Source organism: Homo sapiens, chromosome 14, assembly GCF_000001405.40.
Source record: "Homo sapiens chromosome 14, GRCh38.p14 Primary Assembly".
Lineage (NCBI taxonomy): Eukaryota > Metazoa > Chordata > Mammalia > Primates > Hominidae > Homo > Homo sapiens.
In genome coordinates, this window is record NC_000014.9 from 102420405 (window position 1) to 102436625 (window position 16221).

Here is a 16221-nt window from a genome sequence, read left to right on the forward strand (position 1 = left end):
TTGTACCTGGCTCTAGCTGGTTCTTCACAACTTCACTGCCTTTGACCAACCCACTCATCAGACATTTCCGTTCTTTTTATTTTTTAGAGACAGGGTCTTGCTGTGTCACCAAGGCTGGGGTGCAGTGGTGTGATCACAGCTCACTGCAGCCTTGAACAGCTGGGTTCAGGCGATCCTCCTCCCTCAGCCTCCCGAGTAACTAGGACTACAGGCACGCACCACCATGCCTGGCTAAATTTTTTAATTTGTAGAGATGGTGTCTCTCTAGGTCACCCAGGCTGTTGTCAAACTCCTGGGCTCAAGCAGTCCTCCCTCCTTGGCCTCCAAAAGTGCTGGGATTACAGGTGTGAGCCACCATGCCCAGCTATTCAGCAGTTTTAGAGGCAGCCACTCCCAGGACCTTGCTCAGCAGGGCTCCTTTCCCTTCCTCCAGGGTAAGAGTCCACCTGGTGTTCAGGACCTCGCCTTCTCATGCCCACTCAGATGCACCACCTTGATCTGAGCTCTTTGAGCAGCTCTTTGAGCCTCAGATGGCGCTTCCAGATGCTGATGTGATTGTTCACACAGGTCAGCACAGTGTTATGAGACAGGCTGAGGACCTCATCTTATTTATTTTTTATTTTACCCAGAGCATCAAACACGATGTCTTACAGAATGTAGGAATCACTAAATGTTTGTTAACATGAGTGCTTTAGTTACATAAGATGAACCAGTCAAAATGGAAATGACAAGAGATTTTTCAGAGGTCCTACAAATAGAAGGAAAACATTTAAAAATTGGATCGCCAAGAGAAATTGATTGACAGGAAAGGCAGAGGAAGAGATTATGGGCTCCCTTGCTGGAATTCCTCTGGTTCGCTCTATTTAGAGGACATCTCCAGAACAAACCCACCAAAGGCAGTAATCAGATACGATGCTGTTGATAGAGTTGTCCATAAAAGATCCACGATGTCAAAACACCCTTGGTTCGTCCTAACGATCATTGTTTCAAAGCTGAATTTGATATATAATATCCTCCTTGGACCCTATCCAAAGGGATTTAGTTACTGAGGTGCCAGAGGGACCTAGTGAGATTCTGGTGTGCGAAGAAACCCCGCAAATAACTATCTGTTTGCCTATGTGGGTGGGCCCTGGGGGTGGCCTCTAGGGTTGGGTGTGCTGCTGTGTGCAGGGAGTGTGGGAACAGGCACAGCACAAGTTGGCCGAGGTCTGGTGGGGAAGCAGTGGCACGGAGGCAGCTCTCAACTGTGACCTGCCTGTAGCCTCGTTCAGGACAATTGAGCACTTATGGGGACTTAGTGTCACAAGCATTGCTTTTGTGCTGCATGTAAGTAATCTCATTAATTCCTCACTTCAGCCTTTGAGATGGGAGTTACTCTGCCTGGTTTACAGAATGGGAAACGGGTCCAGAAAAGTTCAATAATTGCACGTACCACATACCCACTAGGTGTCAGGGCTGGACATCGAGCCCAGGGCTAGCTCTAAAACCAGTGCTGTTTCTGCTTTTCACAATCTGAGAAGTATTTGGGAGAAGGAATCAGCCAGGCATAGGGCTGAACTGAAATGCTTACATGTGAACTCTGTTAGCATCCTGAGAAATAACGAGAACTCAGATTGCCAGTGGGAGTGTAGATTGTATAATCACGTTTAAAAAGCTTGAAGTTGTCTTCTAAACTTGAATATGCTCTCAGCAACCCAGCGATTACCCCACAGCCCACCAACTGCATCCTGAGTGTCCGTGACAGACTCTGACACCTGTGGGCTAAGGGGTATGCACAGAAATGCTCATAGCACAATTGCTCAAAATAGCTTTAAAAAATAATAATTGAAATATCCATCAACAAGAAAATGAATAAATGAATTGTGGAATACATTAAGTCCTCGTTTAATGTCATTGATAGGTTCTTGGAAACTGCGACATTAGCAAAACAACGTATAACAAAACCAGTGTTTTTCCCTCACCAATGTTGTTGAAGGAGATGGTGTTATCTGAGGACCTGCTCTATGTCATTTCGCTTACAGTTGTAGTTTCTAAGAACCTGTGGACGCTGAGTAGGACGTACTGTACCATTCAGCAGTAGAAATGAATTAGTGCGACAGCTTCTTTTTATCAAGAAGGATAAATCTGAGAAACATAGTGTTAAGTGAGAAAAAGCAAAAGAGTACAATTAGCATCATACATTTTAATAAAAATGAAAGATAAACAATACTAAATTATATTGTCTTTAGAGATACATAGATATGTGATTAAACCAACAAAAAAGTGAGGAAATGATAAAGGCAAAATGCAGTCCAGTGGTTCCATCTGGGGCACAAGGGGGCAGGAAGTGTTAGGAGCACAGGAGAACATTGGTTGGGTGACTGATGATTTCTTTCCTAAGTTTGGGGATGGGTTCCCAGGTGTACCTTTCCTTGCTAGGCTTCATAACTGCATGGATATATGTACATATACACAGTGGTGCACTGCATAACAACATTTCAGTCATTGACGGACTGCATGTATGACAGTGGTCGCAGAAGATTATAATGGAGCTGAAAAAATTCCTATCAGCTGGTGTCTTAGCGCCACACATTACGTGTTCTGTTTTTAGATAGACAAACAGTCATCATTATGTTACAGGTGCCTACAGTGTTAAGTACAGTCATATGGAGTACAGGTTTGCAGTCCAGGGGCAATAGGCTAGACTAAGCTTGTCCAACCCACGGCCCAACACAAATTTGTAAACTTTCTTAAAATGAGATTTTTTGGCCAGGCGCAGTGGCTCATGCCTGTAATCCCAGCACTTTGGGAAGCCAAGGCAGGTGGATCACTTGAGGTCAGGAGTTCGAGACCAGCCTGGCCAACATGGTAAAACCCCATCTCTACTAAAAATACACAGTTAGCTGGGCATGGCGGTGCACACCTATAATCCCAGCTACATGGGAGGCTGAGGCAGGAGAATCACTTGAACCCAAGAGGGAGAGGTTCCATTGCATTGAGCCCAGATTGCGCCATTGCACTGCATCCTGGACAACAAGAGCAAAACTCTGTCTCAAAAAAAAAAAAAGAGGTTTTTTTTGTGACTATTATTATTATTATTATTATTTTTAGCTCATCAGCTATTGTTAGTGTATTTTATGTGTGGCCCAAGACAATTCTTCTTCTTCCAATGTGGCCCAGGGAAGCCAAAAGATTGGACAGCCCTGGGCTAGACTATGTGGGTGTGTCATAGGCTGTGCCATCTAGGTTTGTGTAAGTACGCTCTATGATGTTCACACAACGAAGACATCGCCTAATGACATATTTCTCAAACATCCCTGTCACTAAGTGACCTGTGACTCTATATATAGCATATTCTTTTGTTTGTGTCAGATATTTCATAATTTCAGAAAGAAAAAATATCAAGCTTGGGGGCAGGAAGGGACATTGGTGCCTCTGATGGGTTTAGAGAAATTCTGAAAAGGCAACAATATAGATGGGTTGCTGTGAAGCTCATTCATTCAGGATGTGGACTGAGCACAGCAATCAGACGTCAGAAGCAACAGAATCAGAGCAGGGAAAGGATGAGCAGACCTGGATTCTTCACCTTCTGCCTCAGTTTCCTCTCCTCCAAAACGGGAGTTGTAATACAGTCATGTGTCACCTAACAACTGGAATATATTCTGAGAAATGCATTGTTAGGTGACATCTTTGTTGTATGAACAGCATTGAGTGTACTGACAAGCGTAGGTGGTAGGTACAGCCTACTTCCACCTGGGCTAAATGGTACAGCATATTGCTCCTGGGCTACAGACTTGCACCACATGTGACTGTACTGAATACTTTAGGCAGCTGTAGCACAACGGTAAGTAATTGTATGTCTAAACATAGAAAAGGTACCATAAAAATATGGTATTATAATCTTATGGGACCACTGTTGTATTTGCGGTCCATCATTGACTAAAATGGTTTGTTGTTGTTGTTTTTGAAGCAGAGTCTTGCTCTGTCACCCAGGTTGGAGTACAGTAGTGGCACTATCTCAGCTCACTGCAAACTCTGCCTCCCAGGTTCAAGCGATTCTCCTGCCTCAGCCTCCCGAGTAGCTGGGACTACAGGCATGCGCCACCATGCCTGGCTAATTTTTGTATTTTTAGTAGAGGCATGGTTTCACCATGTTGGCCAGGCTAGTCTCAAACTCTTGACCTCAGATGATCTGCCGTCTTGGCCTCCCAAAGTGCTGAGATTGCAGGCATGATGCATCCAGCCTGAATACAATGTTATGTGATGCGTGACTGTATCTGCCACTCATGGTTGTTGTAAGGATTAGACACGAGAGTGGGATCAAGTGCCAGGCACAGTGCAGGCTGTGTGAGTACTCAGTGAATGGTTCCCTGTGTGCTAATGGGGCACACACCTGTGAGGGTGTGGTCGGGCCTCTGTTGGTACAGGGATGACAGTGTGGTTTGACAAAAAACAAACAGTAGAAAGGGTGAAAAATCAATTATTGTCTTAGCCAAAAAATTCTTGTTGTACTTAATATTAAGGGTTGACAACTGCATTACTTTAAATCAGTCCATGTCTGTTTTTTGTTCTTTCTTTCTTTCTTCTAATTTTAGTACTGGGAAATTTGGTGCTTGTTTTATACCAGGACTCTGTAAGCAAAGTGATCTAACCTTGTATGCGTCACGGCCCGGGCTCCGGCTATGGAAGGCTGATGTCCACGGGACTGTTCAAGCCACGTTTATCTTAAAAGATGCTTTTGCCGGGGGAGTCAAGCCTTTTGAACTGCACCCGCGTCTGGAATCCCCCAACAGTGGAAGTTGCAGCTTACCTGAGAGGCACCTGGGGCTTGTTTCATGTTTCTTTCAAGAAGGCTGGGTGCTGAGTTGGAATGAATATAGTATCTATCTCCTAGACACAGTCAACCAGGTAAGTGAAGGGACGCCACCATATCTTCTGTGTCTATAGGCAAGAGAATGTATCTCTATAAACTGTTCTACTCAGGGACCTCAGAATGCTACCAGGAGCAGTATTGACTTACACTTTACTTTTTCCTTTGGGCCAGTCAAGGAAATCAAATGAAGGTTTGGTAATTTTTATAGATTTGAAAAAAAAAATTTGGTTTTGACATTTAGGTCCAATTTTCTGCCGAGAAATGATGTATGTTTTTTGTATGTAAACACAAAATTAAACTTGTTCTTTTTGTTGTTGTTGTTGTTGTTGTTGTTGTTGAGAAAGAGTCTCGCTCTGTCACCCAGGCTGGAGTGCAGTGGCATGATCTCGGCTTACTGCAACCTCCACCTCCCAGGTTCAAGCGATTCTCCTGCCTCAGCCTCCTGAGTAGCTGGGATTACAGACGCATGCCACCACGCCTGGCTAATTTTTGTATTTTTAGTAGAGACAGGGTTTCACAATGTTGGTCAGGCTGGTCTTGAACTCCTGACCTCGTGATCTGCCCGCCTTGGCCTCCCAAATTGCTGGGATTACAGGCGTGAGCCACCATGCCTGGTTTTTTTTTTTGTTTTTTTTTTTTGAGATGGAGTCCTAGTATGTCACCCAGGCTGGAGTGCAGTGTGCAGTGGTGCAATCTGGGCTCACTGCAACCTCCACCTCCCGAGTTCAAGCGATTCTCCTGCCTCAGCCTCCCAAGTAGCTGGGATTACAGGTGCGCACCACCACGCCTGGCTAATTTTTTTGTATTTTTAGTAGAGACAGGGTTTCACCATGTTGGCCAGGCTGGTCTCGAACTCCTGACTCAGGTGATCCGCCAGCCTCGGCCTCCCAAAGTGCTGGGGTTACAGGCGTGAACCGCCGCGCCCGGCCGCCACTTGGTTTTTTTTTTGTTTTTTGTTTTTTATTTTCAGTTTTCTTTACTTAGCAATATATCTTGGGCAAATTTCCAACATCATTAAAATCATGGTAGGAAATAATTTCTGCTTAAACCAAGATGATAACAGATTATCATCAGAGACAGATTTAGAAACTTTAAACAAAGCTGTTTAGTTTCAGTTTCTCCTTGTCTTAAGAGCAGAGCTTTTGCTCTTTTTAAAATAAACTCCCTGCCTTACCCTCCCGACTCCTCACCCCCAGACTCTAGACCAGGCCCTGTCCTGTTCACGTTCTTCCATTCTGAGCTCAGCGGGCCTCTGACAGGCACCCCTTTCTTTTATAAGCAGAGCCTCACTGTAGAAAATAAACAGTTTTCAGCCAGGCGCAGTGGCTTACGCCTGTAATCCCAGCACTTTGGGCACTTTGGAAGGCCGAGGTAGGTGGATAACCTGAGGTCAGGAGTTCAAGGCCAGCCTGGCCAACATGGTGAAACTCCGTCTCTACTAAAAATACAAAAATTAGCCAGGCATGGTGGTGGGCGCCTGTAGTCCTGGCTACTCGGGAGGCTGAGGCAGGAGAATTGCTTGAACCTGGGAGGCGGAGGTTGCAATGAGCCAAGATCACACCACTGCACTCCAGCCTGGGTGACAGAGCAAGACTTCATTTGAAAAAAAGAAAAGAAAGGGTTTTCTTCTTTGGTGTGTGTCAGCAGAACATGAAGTTCATCTTCTCCTCATTGAAGTTTTATGAATTATTATCAGCCGTACCTGGTAACACTGGTTTGGCAGAAAGAAAACTGGCCCGGGGTGGGGGGCAGAACTAGACTCGACTCTTCTAGCCTGGTTCTGCCTTTAACCAAGAGTCTCTTATCGGCCGGAGCCTGGTTTGTTTTCCTGTAAAATGGGGTGGGGGTGGAAGAAGCATCGACTTAGGGGAATCACCAAGGTGCCTTGAGTTTGTTCATTTTATAAGGGATATTCTGAAAGGTATTTTTGCACCCTTTCCTCAGTTACAGAGAACTTCTTTCCCTGGATACCTTTTGAACTTATGTGCACTTATTAATTAGTAGCATCAAGATGCTTTGTAACTGTGCATTGGTTCTTTCATCTGAGCATTTACCCGATGCTTTACCCAGTAGGTATAATTAACTTCATTTTATAGGTAGAGAAATGGAGACAGGGGACCGTCTGGGACAGATGTCACAGTCACCCTCAGAGACTGGACCACCCAGTGGCAGCATGACTGGCAGCTTTCGGAAACAAATGTTATGTTTGCAGCAGTCCATCAGTTATTTAAAATTAGCCAAAAACATAGACTCTCCTTCTACAACAGACTAGTCTCTTTATTTGCACTGTCTACAGCAAAGCAAGGACTTGCTTTAAGTCAGTGTGGGCTCAGGATGTCCTGTGTTTTGTTGCCACCCACTTTCAGATAATGCTGGAGGAACCTCCCCTCCCTTCATGTATTCATTCAAAACCCATGAGTTGCAGTGCGCACTGGCCTCTCCTGCAGGAATGCACACAGTAGGGGGACTAGACGTGTCTGCACGTTATTTCAGCCCAGGAGTGGGGCGTCAAGCGGAAGTTTGGATGAGGTGCTGCAAGCCCTGAGAGCCCTGGGTGTTGCAGCAGAGGGCAAGCTTGTCAGAGGCTGCTTCTCACAGAGGTGGCGTCTGGAGAGAACTGGAACTTCCCCAGCAAACATGGATAGGAAAGGAATTTGAGCAGAAAGAGAAGCACGTGCATTCACCATGGAGGAACAGGGCTGGGACTGGGCTGGCAGGGCCGGTGCACCTGCAGCAGGGACGAGGGCAGGGTGGTACGTGGGTCGGAGATGACCGAGGCCCCACCATGCCAGGGGACCCCTCAGATCCTGCTTACCAATCTGTGAGATGTTACCTAACTTTGGATTGAATTGGAATTTTCAGAAAGTTACCATAGTAAAGTGCAGTTATCATTTGACTGATTTGGACTCTCACACATGCATTTTTATGCTTTGAGCTGTTACCGTTGTTTAGTTTTGTGTTTTTTGTTTTTTTTTTTTTTTTTTTTTTGACAGGCCACAGTTGCTGGTTTGGAAGGATCCGGTGATATTGTGTCTGTTTCGTGCACAGAAAATGAAATATTTTTCTTGAAAGGAGATAGGAACATTATAAGAATTTCAAGCAGGCCTGAAGGATTAACATCAACAGGTTTGTATTTATTATAAAATGTACCATGTATATGATGGGAAGTACTATACTCTGTTGTTTGTAATTGCAGTTAATAATTGATCAAACTTACCATTGGGCCAGGCATGGTGGCTCACGCCTGTAATCCCAGCACTTTGGGAGGCTGAGGTGGGTGGATCGCTTAAGCTCAGGACTTTAAGACCAGCCTGGGCAACATGGTAAAACCCTGTCTCTACCAAAAATACAAAAAACTAGCCAGGCGTGGTGGCATGCGCCTGTGGTCTCAAGTACTCGGGAGGCTGAGGTGGGAGGATCGCTTGAGCCTGGGAGGCAGAGGTTGCTGTAAGCTAAGATTGCACCACTGCACTCCAGCCTGGATGACAGAGTGAGACCTCATCTCAAAAACAAAACCAAAAACTTACCATTATTTTGCTAAACTATTGCAACTTTATTTGAACTTGGAGGATTTGGAGGGTTTCCTCTGATTCTTTTTTTTTTTTTTTGAGATGGAGTTTCGCTCTTGTTGCCCAGGCTAGAGTGCAATGAGGCGATCTCAGCTCACCGCAACCTCTGCCTCCCAGGTTCAAGCTATTCTCCTGCCTCAGCCTCCTGAGTAGCTGGGATTACAGGCATGCGCCATTATGCCAGGCTAATTTTGTATTTTTAGTAGAGACAGGGTTTCTCCATGTTGGTCAGGCAGGTCTCAAACTCCCGACCTCAGGCGATCCGCCTGCCTCCGCCTCCCAAAGTGCTGGGATTAAAGGCGTGAGCCACTGTGCCCGGCCGCTCCTCTGATTGTTAAAATAGCATTTACAGTACATTTCTTGAAAGTCACCTACTTTAAGGCTTACATCAGATAGTCTCACATTTAGTGGAGTTGCTTTCATGGTTGTGGAAGATGGGGAGATTGAGAAAGGAGGAAGGAAAAATCAGAAACCACTTTACTGATCCCTGCTCTCCGTCTGAGACAGTATGTGGGATTAATGCTCCAAAAGACATAGATTTGCATAGAGTTTTAGAATATTTAAATCTGTCATCTGGGACATACCGTTTACCCTTAACTCAGTTCTTCCTTGTAGGATTTATTTTTCTCTGTGCTTTTGACATTTTTTGGTAATTCATACAAGCCCAAATTTTAATGAGCAAAGAATCCTAATATGTGTCCTCTTGCGGACATCCACATGCTTTATATATTTGGGTTCCTCGGGGAACTTGTTCCTCATGGTGGCAACAACAGCCATGTGGACCCCATCACCCTCCTCCTCACTACCATTACCTCTGATGTCAGAGAGGGCAAATTGGGGTGAATATTCCAAAACATAATTTGTATAAGAAGTGAATAAGCTCTGACTCTTGAGTTTATGAGCTGGGGGCCCCTCAGACAGTGTCATCAAAGGGTTAGAATGGCTTTCAGGAAGGGTGGTGACTTGGAGCCACCAGGCTAAGCTCTGGACCTCTGCTGCCCATAGAGCTTTCTGCAGTGATGAAGATGCTCCCATCTGCCCTGTCTGGTAGGCAGTCCCTGTCCATGTGTGGCTGCTGAGTACTTGCAATATAGCAAGTGCAGCTGAGAGATGAATTTTACATTTTGTTTAATTTTTATTTTATTTTATTTTATTTTTTGAGACAGAGTCTTGCTCTGTATCCCAGGCTAGAGTGCAGTGGTGCAGTCTCTGGTCACTGCAACCTCCACCTCCTGGGTTCAAACGATTCTCCTGCCTTAGCCTCCCGAATAGCTGGGATTACAGGTGTGCACCACCACACCAGGCTAATATTTTGTATTTTAGTAGAAAGGGGGTTTCACCATGCACCATGTTACCCAGGCTGGTCTCGAACTCCTGAGCTCAGGCAGTCCTCCCACCTTAGCCTCCCAAAGTGATGGGATTACAGGCATGAGCCACCGCGCCCAGCCTAAATTTTGTTCAATTTTGATCAATTTGAATTTCAATACTTACAAGTAGCTGGTGGCTGCCTATTGGACAGGGAGCTCTAGGCAAGATCTGCCATTAAGTTATGTAATCTTCAGCAAGTCGCTTCACAGCAGAGTCCTCCCCTCCAGTCTCCAGTGTACACTTCATTGCCTGCAGTCTGCCCCTAACACATGCCCTCAATAGAATGTGGGTGCTTCAAGGGCAGGAATTCCTGTGTCTTATGGACTGCCATGTCCCAGCAGCTAGCCCTGTGTCTGGCACACGGAGGATCCCCGATAAAGAGAGGATGGCGAATGGATCAAAGTGGGCTGTGGTCTTGTGTTGAGGGTACTGTAGCTGGAACTGCTCTGGCCTTGTGCCCTGTGGTGTCGTGTTGCAGAAAAGATGAGTCCACTGCAGTGGGAAGCTCACTGGCCCTTGGGCTTGGGGACAGGAGACAGGTACTCACATGCCTGTTCTCACTCTGCGGTCTACTGGCCTTGATGCTGTGTGGTAATGGACTTCTCTGTCTTGAGTTTGTTCTAATGGAAAATTACCTTTCCCTCTTCCAGGAAACTTAATTACAGGTACACATGTATTTTTCAAATGCCCTTTGAGTAATCTTAAAGTATATTCAAGGCAGAGTCTTAGTATGAAGTATAACTAAGCTGTTTTGTTATACACAGGCATCTCTCATTTGTAAATAATTTGTAAATTGAAGCGAGAAATGCTGTATTCTTAGTATTTTTTTACTTTTTTTTTTTTTTTTTTGAGACAGGTTTCACTCTGTCGTGCAGGCTGGAGTGCAGTGGCATGATCTCAGCTCACTGCAACCTCCACCTCCCAGGCTCAAATGATTCTCCCACCTCAGCCTCCCAAGTAGCTGGGACTATGGGCGTGCACCACCACACCCTGCTAAATTTTGAGACTCCGTCTCAAAAATAAATAAATAAATAAATATAAAAAGAAAGCTATGGCAAATTATTTTACTGATTTTAATATATGAGCTTCTTGAAGAACAAAAACTGTTTCTTAGAGTCTTTTGTATGATTCTTTTAGTTTTGGTGGATTTTTTTTTTTTTTTTTTTTGAGACGGAGTCTCACTGTGTTGCCCAGGCTGGAGTGCAGTGGCGCAATCTCGGCTCACTGCAAGCTTTGCCTCCCAGGTTCACACCATTCTCCTGCCTCAGCCTCCCAAGTAGCTGGGACCCCCGGCGCCCGCCACCATGCCCGGCTAATTTTTTGTATTTTTAGTAGAGACGGGGTTTCACTGTGTTAGCCAGGATGGTCTTGATCTCCTGACCTTGTGATCCGCCCGCCTTGGCCTCCCAAAGTGCTGGGATTACAGGCGTGAGTCACCGTGCCCATCCTAGTTTTGCTGGTTTCTATGAATTTAGAATCATTCAGTTCTTTAGCTGGCTGGTGCCTCTGTGACAACTGGTATTTAGGGCTAGCAAACGTGGATAAGTGCACATCAGCTCTCTCTTGGATCACCAGTGGTAAAACCAGACTCTTCTTTCTTAGTGAGAGATGGTCTGGAGATGTCTGGATGCTCAGAGCGTGTCCACGTGCAGCAAGCGGAGAAGCTGCCAGGGGCCACAGTTTCTGAGACGAGGCTCAGAGGCTCTTCCATGGCCAGCTCCGTGGCCAGCGAGCCAAGGAGCAGGAGCAGCTCGCTCAACTCCACCGACAGCGGCTCCGGGCTCCTGCCCCCTGGGCTCCAGGCCACCCCTGAGCTGGGCAAGGGCAGCCAGCCCCTGTCACAGAGATTCAACGCCATCAGCTCAGAGGACTTTGACCAGGAGCTTGTCGTGAAGCCTATCAAAGTGAAAAGGAAGAAGAAGAAGAAGAAGACAGGTACCCTCTGTAGCTGGCACACACCCATCTGGGGTTACAGTCTTTCCAGATTCTCTGGGAGTGCTGCTGCTCACTGAGTGAGCAATGCTCCATACATCCAAAAGCAGAGAACACATACATTTCTTCCCCAAAGGAGTTTTACTGCAAAATACTTCACATTAACGGAAAATACACACACACACACACACACACACTGTAAGGTCTAAATGATGACAGAACACCTGTGTGTACTCACCACCCTGCTTAAAGGGTCTCAGTTTTGTACTTTTCAATATTTATTTATGTATTTATATTATTTATTTATTTTTTGCGACAGAGTTTCGCTCGTCGCCCAGGCTGGAGTGCAATGGCACGATCTCGGCTCACTGCAACCTCACCTCCTGAGTTCAAGCAATTCTCCTGCCTCAGCCTCCCGAGTATGCATGCCCAGCGAATTTTGTATTTTTAGTAGATACAGGGTTTCTCCATGTTGGTCAGGCTGGTCTTGAACTCCCAAACTCAGGTGATCTGCCCGCCTCGGCCTCCCAAAGTGCTGGGATTACAGCGTGAGCCACCGCGCCTGGCATAGTTTTTAGTATTTAAATTAAAATGTCGGGGCCGGGCGCAGTGGCTCATGCCTGTAATCCCAACACTTTGGGAGGCCGAGGCAGGCGGATCACGAGGTCAAGAGATTGAGACCATCCTGGCCAACATGGTGAAACCCCGTCTCTACTAAAAACACATAAATTAGCTGGGCTTGGTGGCATGTGCCTGTAATCTCAGTCACTCGGGAGGCTGAGGCAGGAGAATCACTTGAACCTGGGAGGCAGAGGATGCAGTGAGCCGAGGTCACGCCACTGCACTCCAGCCTCGCAACAGAGCAAGACTCCGTCTCAAAAAAAAAAAAAAAAAAAGTGTTGGTTTATCCATGTATACCATTGATTAAATCAGAGATTCTGTGAGCCTGGGTGGAAAGTTGTGGAAACCAGAAGATCTATGCTGGTAAATACTTGGGACATTTTATGTTTAGTGTTGAATATGCTACCAAATATGGGATTTAACATTGAATTTTTTTCTTTTTTTTTTTCAACTTTTATTTTAAATACAGGGGGTCCATGCGCAGGTTTGTTACATGGGTATACAGCACCCAGGTAGTGAGCACAGTATGCAGTAGGTGGCTTTTGACCCATGCCGCCTCCTCTCCCGCTCTGGAGGTCCACAGTGTCTGTCCTTCCCATGTTTATGTCCATGCGTGCTCAGTGTTTGGCTCCCACTTACAAGTCAGAACATGCTGTTGGTTTTCTGTTCCTGTTGCATTAATTTGCTTAGGATTACGGCCAGCGGTTCCATCCATGTTGCTGTAAAGGACAAGATTTCATTCTTTATTTTTATTTATTTATTTATTTATTTATTTATTTTTTAATTTATTGGAGACAGAGTTTCACTGTTGTCACCCAGGCTAGAGTGCAATGGTGCGATCTCGGCTCACTGCAACTTCCGCCTCCCAAGTTCAAGCAATTCTCCTGCCTCAGCCTCCCGAGTAGCTGGGATTACAGGTGCCCACTACCACGCCCAGCTAAGTTTTTGTATTTTTAGTAGAGGCAGGGGTTTACCATGTTGGACAGGCTGGTCTTGAACTCCTGACCTAAGGTGGCCCACCCGCCTCGGCCTCCCAAAGTGCTAGGATGGCTTATGAGCGTGAACCACCGTGCACAGCCCAGATTTCATTCTTTGTTATGGCTGTGTAACACTGAATTTTTCAAACCTTTTACTCCTTGGTTCCTGTTAATCCTCTCTAGCTAAGATGACTGCAACACTGAAGGAAATGTTATTAGATTTCTAAGCATTTTAATAATTATAAGGAATTGGTTTGTGACCCAGGTGAACATCTCAGTTTGTCCCCTGGTTTTTCTTAGCTGCCCTCAAACCCATGGATTTGTTCAGTACTTGCATGCATAGAAAGCATCTCTTTGTTGGGATTATTTGTACTTAAGAGGTTTATTCTTCATTCACCAAATATCCTTTATTTAAAATTTTTTTTCTTGAGCCAAAAATATGTGTGCAAGTTAGTCTCTTACTAATCATATAGAACCGTGCCTTATTTTGAATGTTCTTATTCTGAATTAGAAGGTGGAAGCAGGAGCACCTGTCACAGCTCCCTGGAATCGACACCCTGCTCCGAATTTCCTGGGGACAGTCCCCAGTCCTTGAACACAGACTTGCTGTCGATGACCTCAAGTGTCCTGGGCAGTAGCGTGGATCAGTTAAGTGCAGAGTCTCCAGACCAGGAAAGCAGCTTCAATGGTGAAGTGAACGGTGTCCCACAGGAAAATACTGACCCCGAAACGTTTAATGTCCTGGAGGTGTCAGGATCAATGCCTGATTCTCTGGCTGAGGAAGATGACATTAGAACTGAAATGCCACACTGTCACCATGCACATGGGCGGGAGCTGCTCAATGGAGCGAGGGAAGATGTGGGAGGCAGTGATGTCACGGGACTCGGAGATGAGCCGTGTCCTGCAGATGATGGACCAAATAGCACACAGTTACCCTTCCAAGAACAGGACAGCTCTCCTGGGGCGCATGATGGGGAAGACATCCAACCCATTGGCCCCCAAAGCACTTTTTGTGAAGTCCCCCTCCTGAACTCACTCACTGTGCCTTCCAGCCTCAGCTGGGCCCCAAGTGCTGAACAGTGGCTGCCTGGGACCAGAGCTGATGAAGGCAGCCCCGTGGAGCCCAGCCAAGAGCAGGACATCCTAACCAGCATGGAGGCCTCTGGCCACCTCAGCACAAATCTCTGGCATGCTGTCACTGATGATGACACAGGTCAGAAAGAAATACCCATTTCTGAACGTGTCTTGGGGAGTGTGGGAGGACAGCTGACTCCGGTCTCTGCCTTGGCAGCCAGCACTCACAAGCCCTGGCTTGAGCAGCCTCCACGGGATCAGACATTGACGTCCAGCGATGAGGAGGACATCTATGCCCACGGGCTTCCTTCTTCATCCTCAGAGACGAGTGTGACAGAGCTCGGACCTAGTTGCTCCCAGCAGGACCTGAGCCGGCTGGGTGCAGAGGACGCCGGGCTGCTCAAGCCAGATCAGGTATGTGGGTTCGGGTGGTGGGAAAAGTAGCTGAGGCTTCTTTCTTAAGGGTAATAATTGTCAAGACTGATTATTTTCCTTCTCATGGAAAGAAATTCTATTCCTACTGCAAAATCCGTAGGCCAACTCTGTTTTCAAGTCTGGGTTTCAGGGGATTTCCAGCACAGGGACTATGAATGGCTTGAACTACTTCTGACCTGTTCTACCCTGCTCAGTAACCTGCCTCCCCAACCAAGGTAGCGTCTTGCTGTTTCCTCTGACCCCACAAGTGCAGGCTGGTGTAGGCACTTACTGTTAGCCATCGTAGGGCAGGGCTGAATTGGCCTGGGGCCATCTCAGAAAACCAGTGGGCAGAGGACTGTCCACCTGTGGAGTAGAGAAAGCTCTGAGCAGTTTGGAGGCAGGGAGTCTCCTGTCCTTCTCCTCACACCCCTCCAAGGAACCATCTGCAAGAGCACGAGGCCATTTCCAGAACTGCTGTCTCCTCAACCTCCGAACAGTGGCTCCAAGGCTCCCCTGCGAGCTGTACAGGAACCAGTTTGGAGTAACCAGTCTTTGTAGGTCCACCCAGCACATGTAACTAGGAGATGACTTTTAACTGTCCTTGAGCATTTTATATTAAAAGTGATTTTTTTAAAAGTGCCTACTTCCCTTAGCAAGTAATTATTACTAGATATATTTGTTTCAAAACTGTGTCTTGCCCTGTCTCCTACTAACTGTCGATGTGAGGTATGAATTATGGCTGCGCACTTACAGCCACGTGTGCTTTCCACAGTCTACGCTGGCTTCTGTCAGTGCTAGCAGTGTGACGCTTTGTCAGTGCTCACCATGTGCAGGTATCCCACAAAGCACTTTAGAGGTTTAACTCTTTTACTTCTCTAAACACGAACTATAAAATAGGCACTCTTCTTGTCCCCATTTTACAGAGGAGAAAATGGAAGCACAGAACAGCTAGACAGCTTGCACAAGGTCACATAGCAAATGAAGGGCGGGCCCCAGGACCCCCTCACTCACCCTCTGTGCTGTCATGCCTCAGAAGTGAAACATGCTGCTTACTTGTTTTGAGACAAAACGCCATAAGTCTGGCTTTTTTTTCTTCTTTCTTTCTTTTTTTTTTTTTTTTCTGAGACAGGGTCTCACTCTGTCACCCAGGATGGAGCGCAGTGGCGCAATCATGGCTCATTGCTGCCTCGACCTCCCCAAGCTCAAGTGATCCACCTGCCTCAGCTTCCTGAGTCACTGGGACTACAGGCATGTGCCACCATGCCCAGCTAATTTTTGTATTTTTTGTAGAGAAGGGGTTTTGCCATATTGCCCAAGCTGGTCTCGAACTCCTGAGCTCAAGCAATCTGCCTGCCTCGGCTTCCCAAAGTGCTGGGATTACAGGTGTGAGCTGCTGTGCCTGGCCAAGGGT

At 46.3% G+C, this 16221-nt stretch overlaps 1 protein-coding gene across 2 annotated transcripts in view; it reads left to right on the plus strand.

The window, feature by feature from the left end:
* Window positions 1–16221, plus strand: part of TECPR2 (tectonin beta-propeller repeat containing 2) — a 139537-nt gene that overhangs the window by 57464 nt on the left and 65852 nt on the right. For both annotated transcript variants that reach the window (NM_014844.5, NM_001172631.3), the window contains exons 6-9: window positions 4575–4887; window positions 7846–7978; window positions 11392–11724; window positions 13831–14807. In NM_014844.5, coding sequence (NP_055659.2) covers window positions 4575–4887; window positions 7846–7978; window positions 11392–11724; window positions 13831–14807 — 1756 coding nt within the window. The remainder of the gene's footprint in view (window positions 1–4574; window positions 4888–7845; window positions 7979–11391; window positions 11725–13830; window positions 14808–16221) is intronic.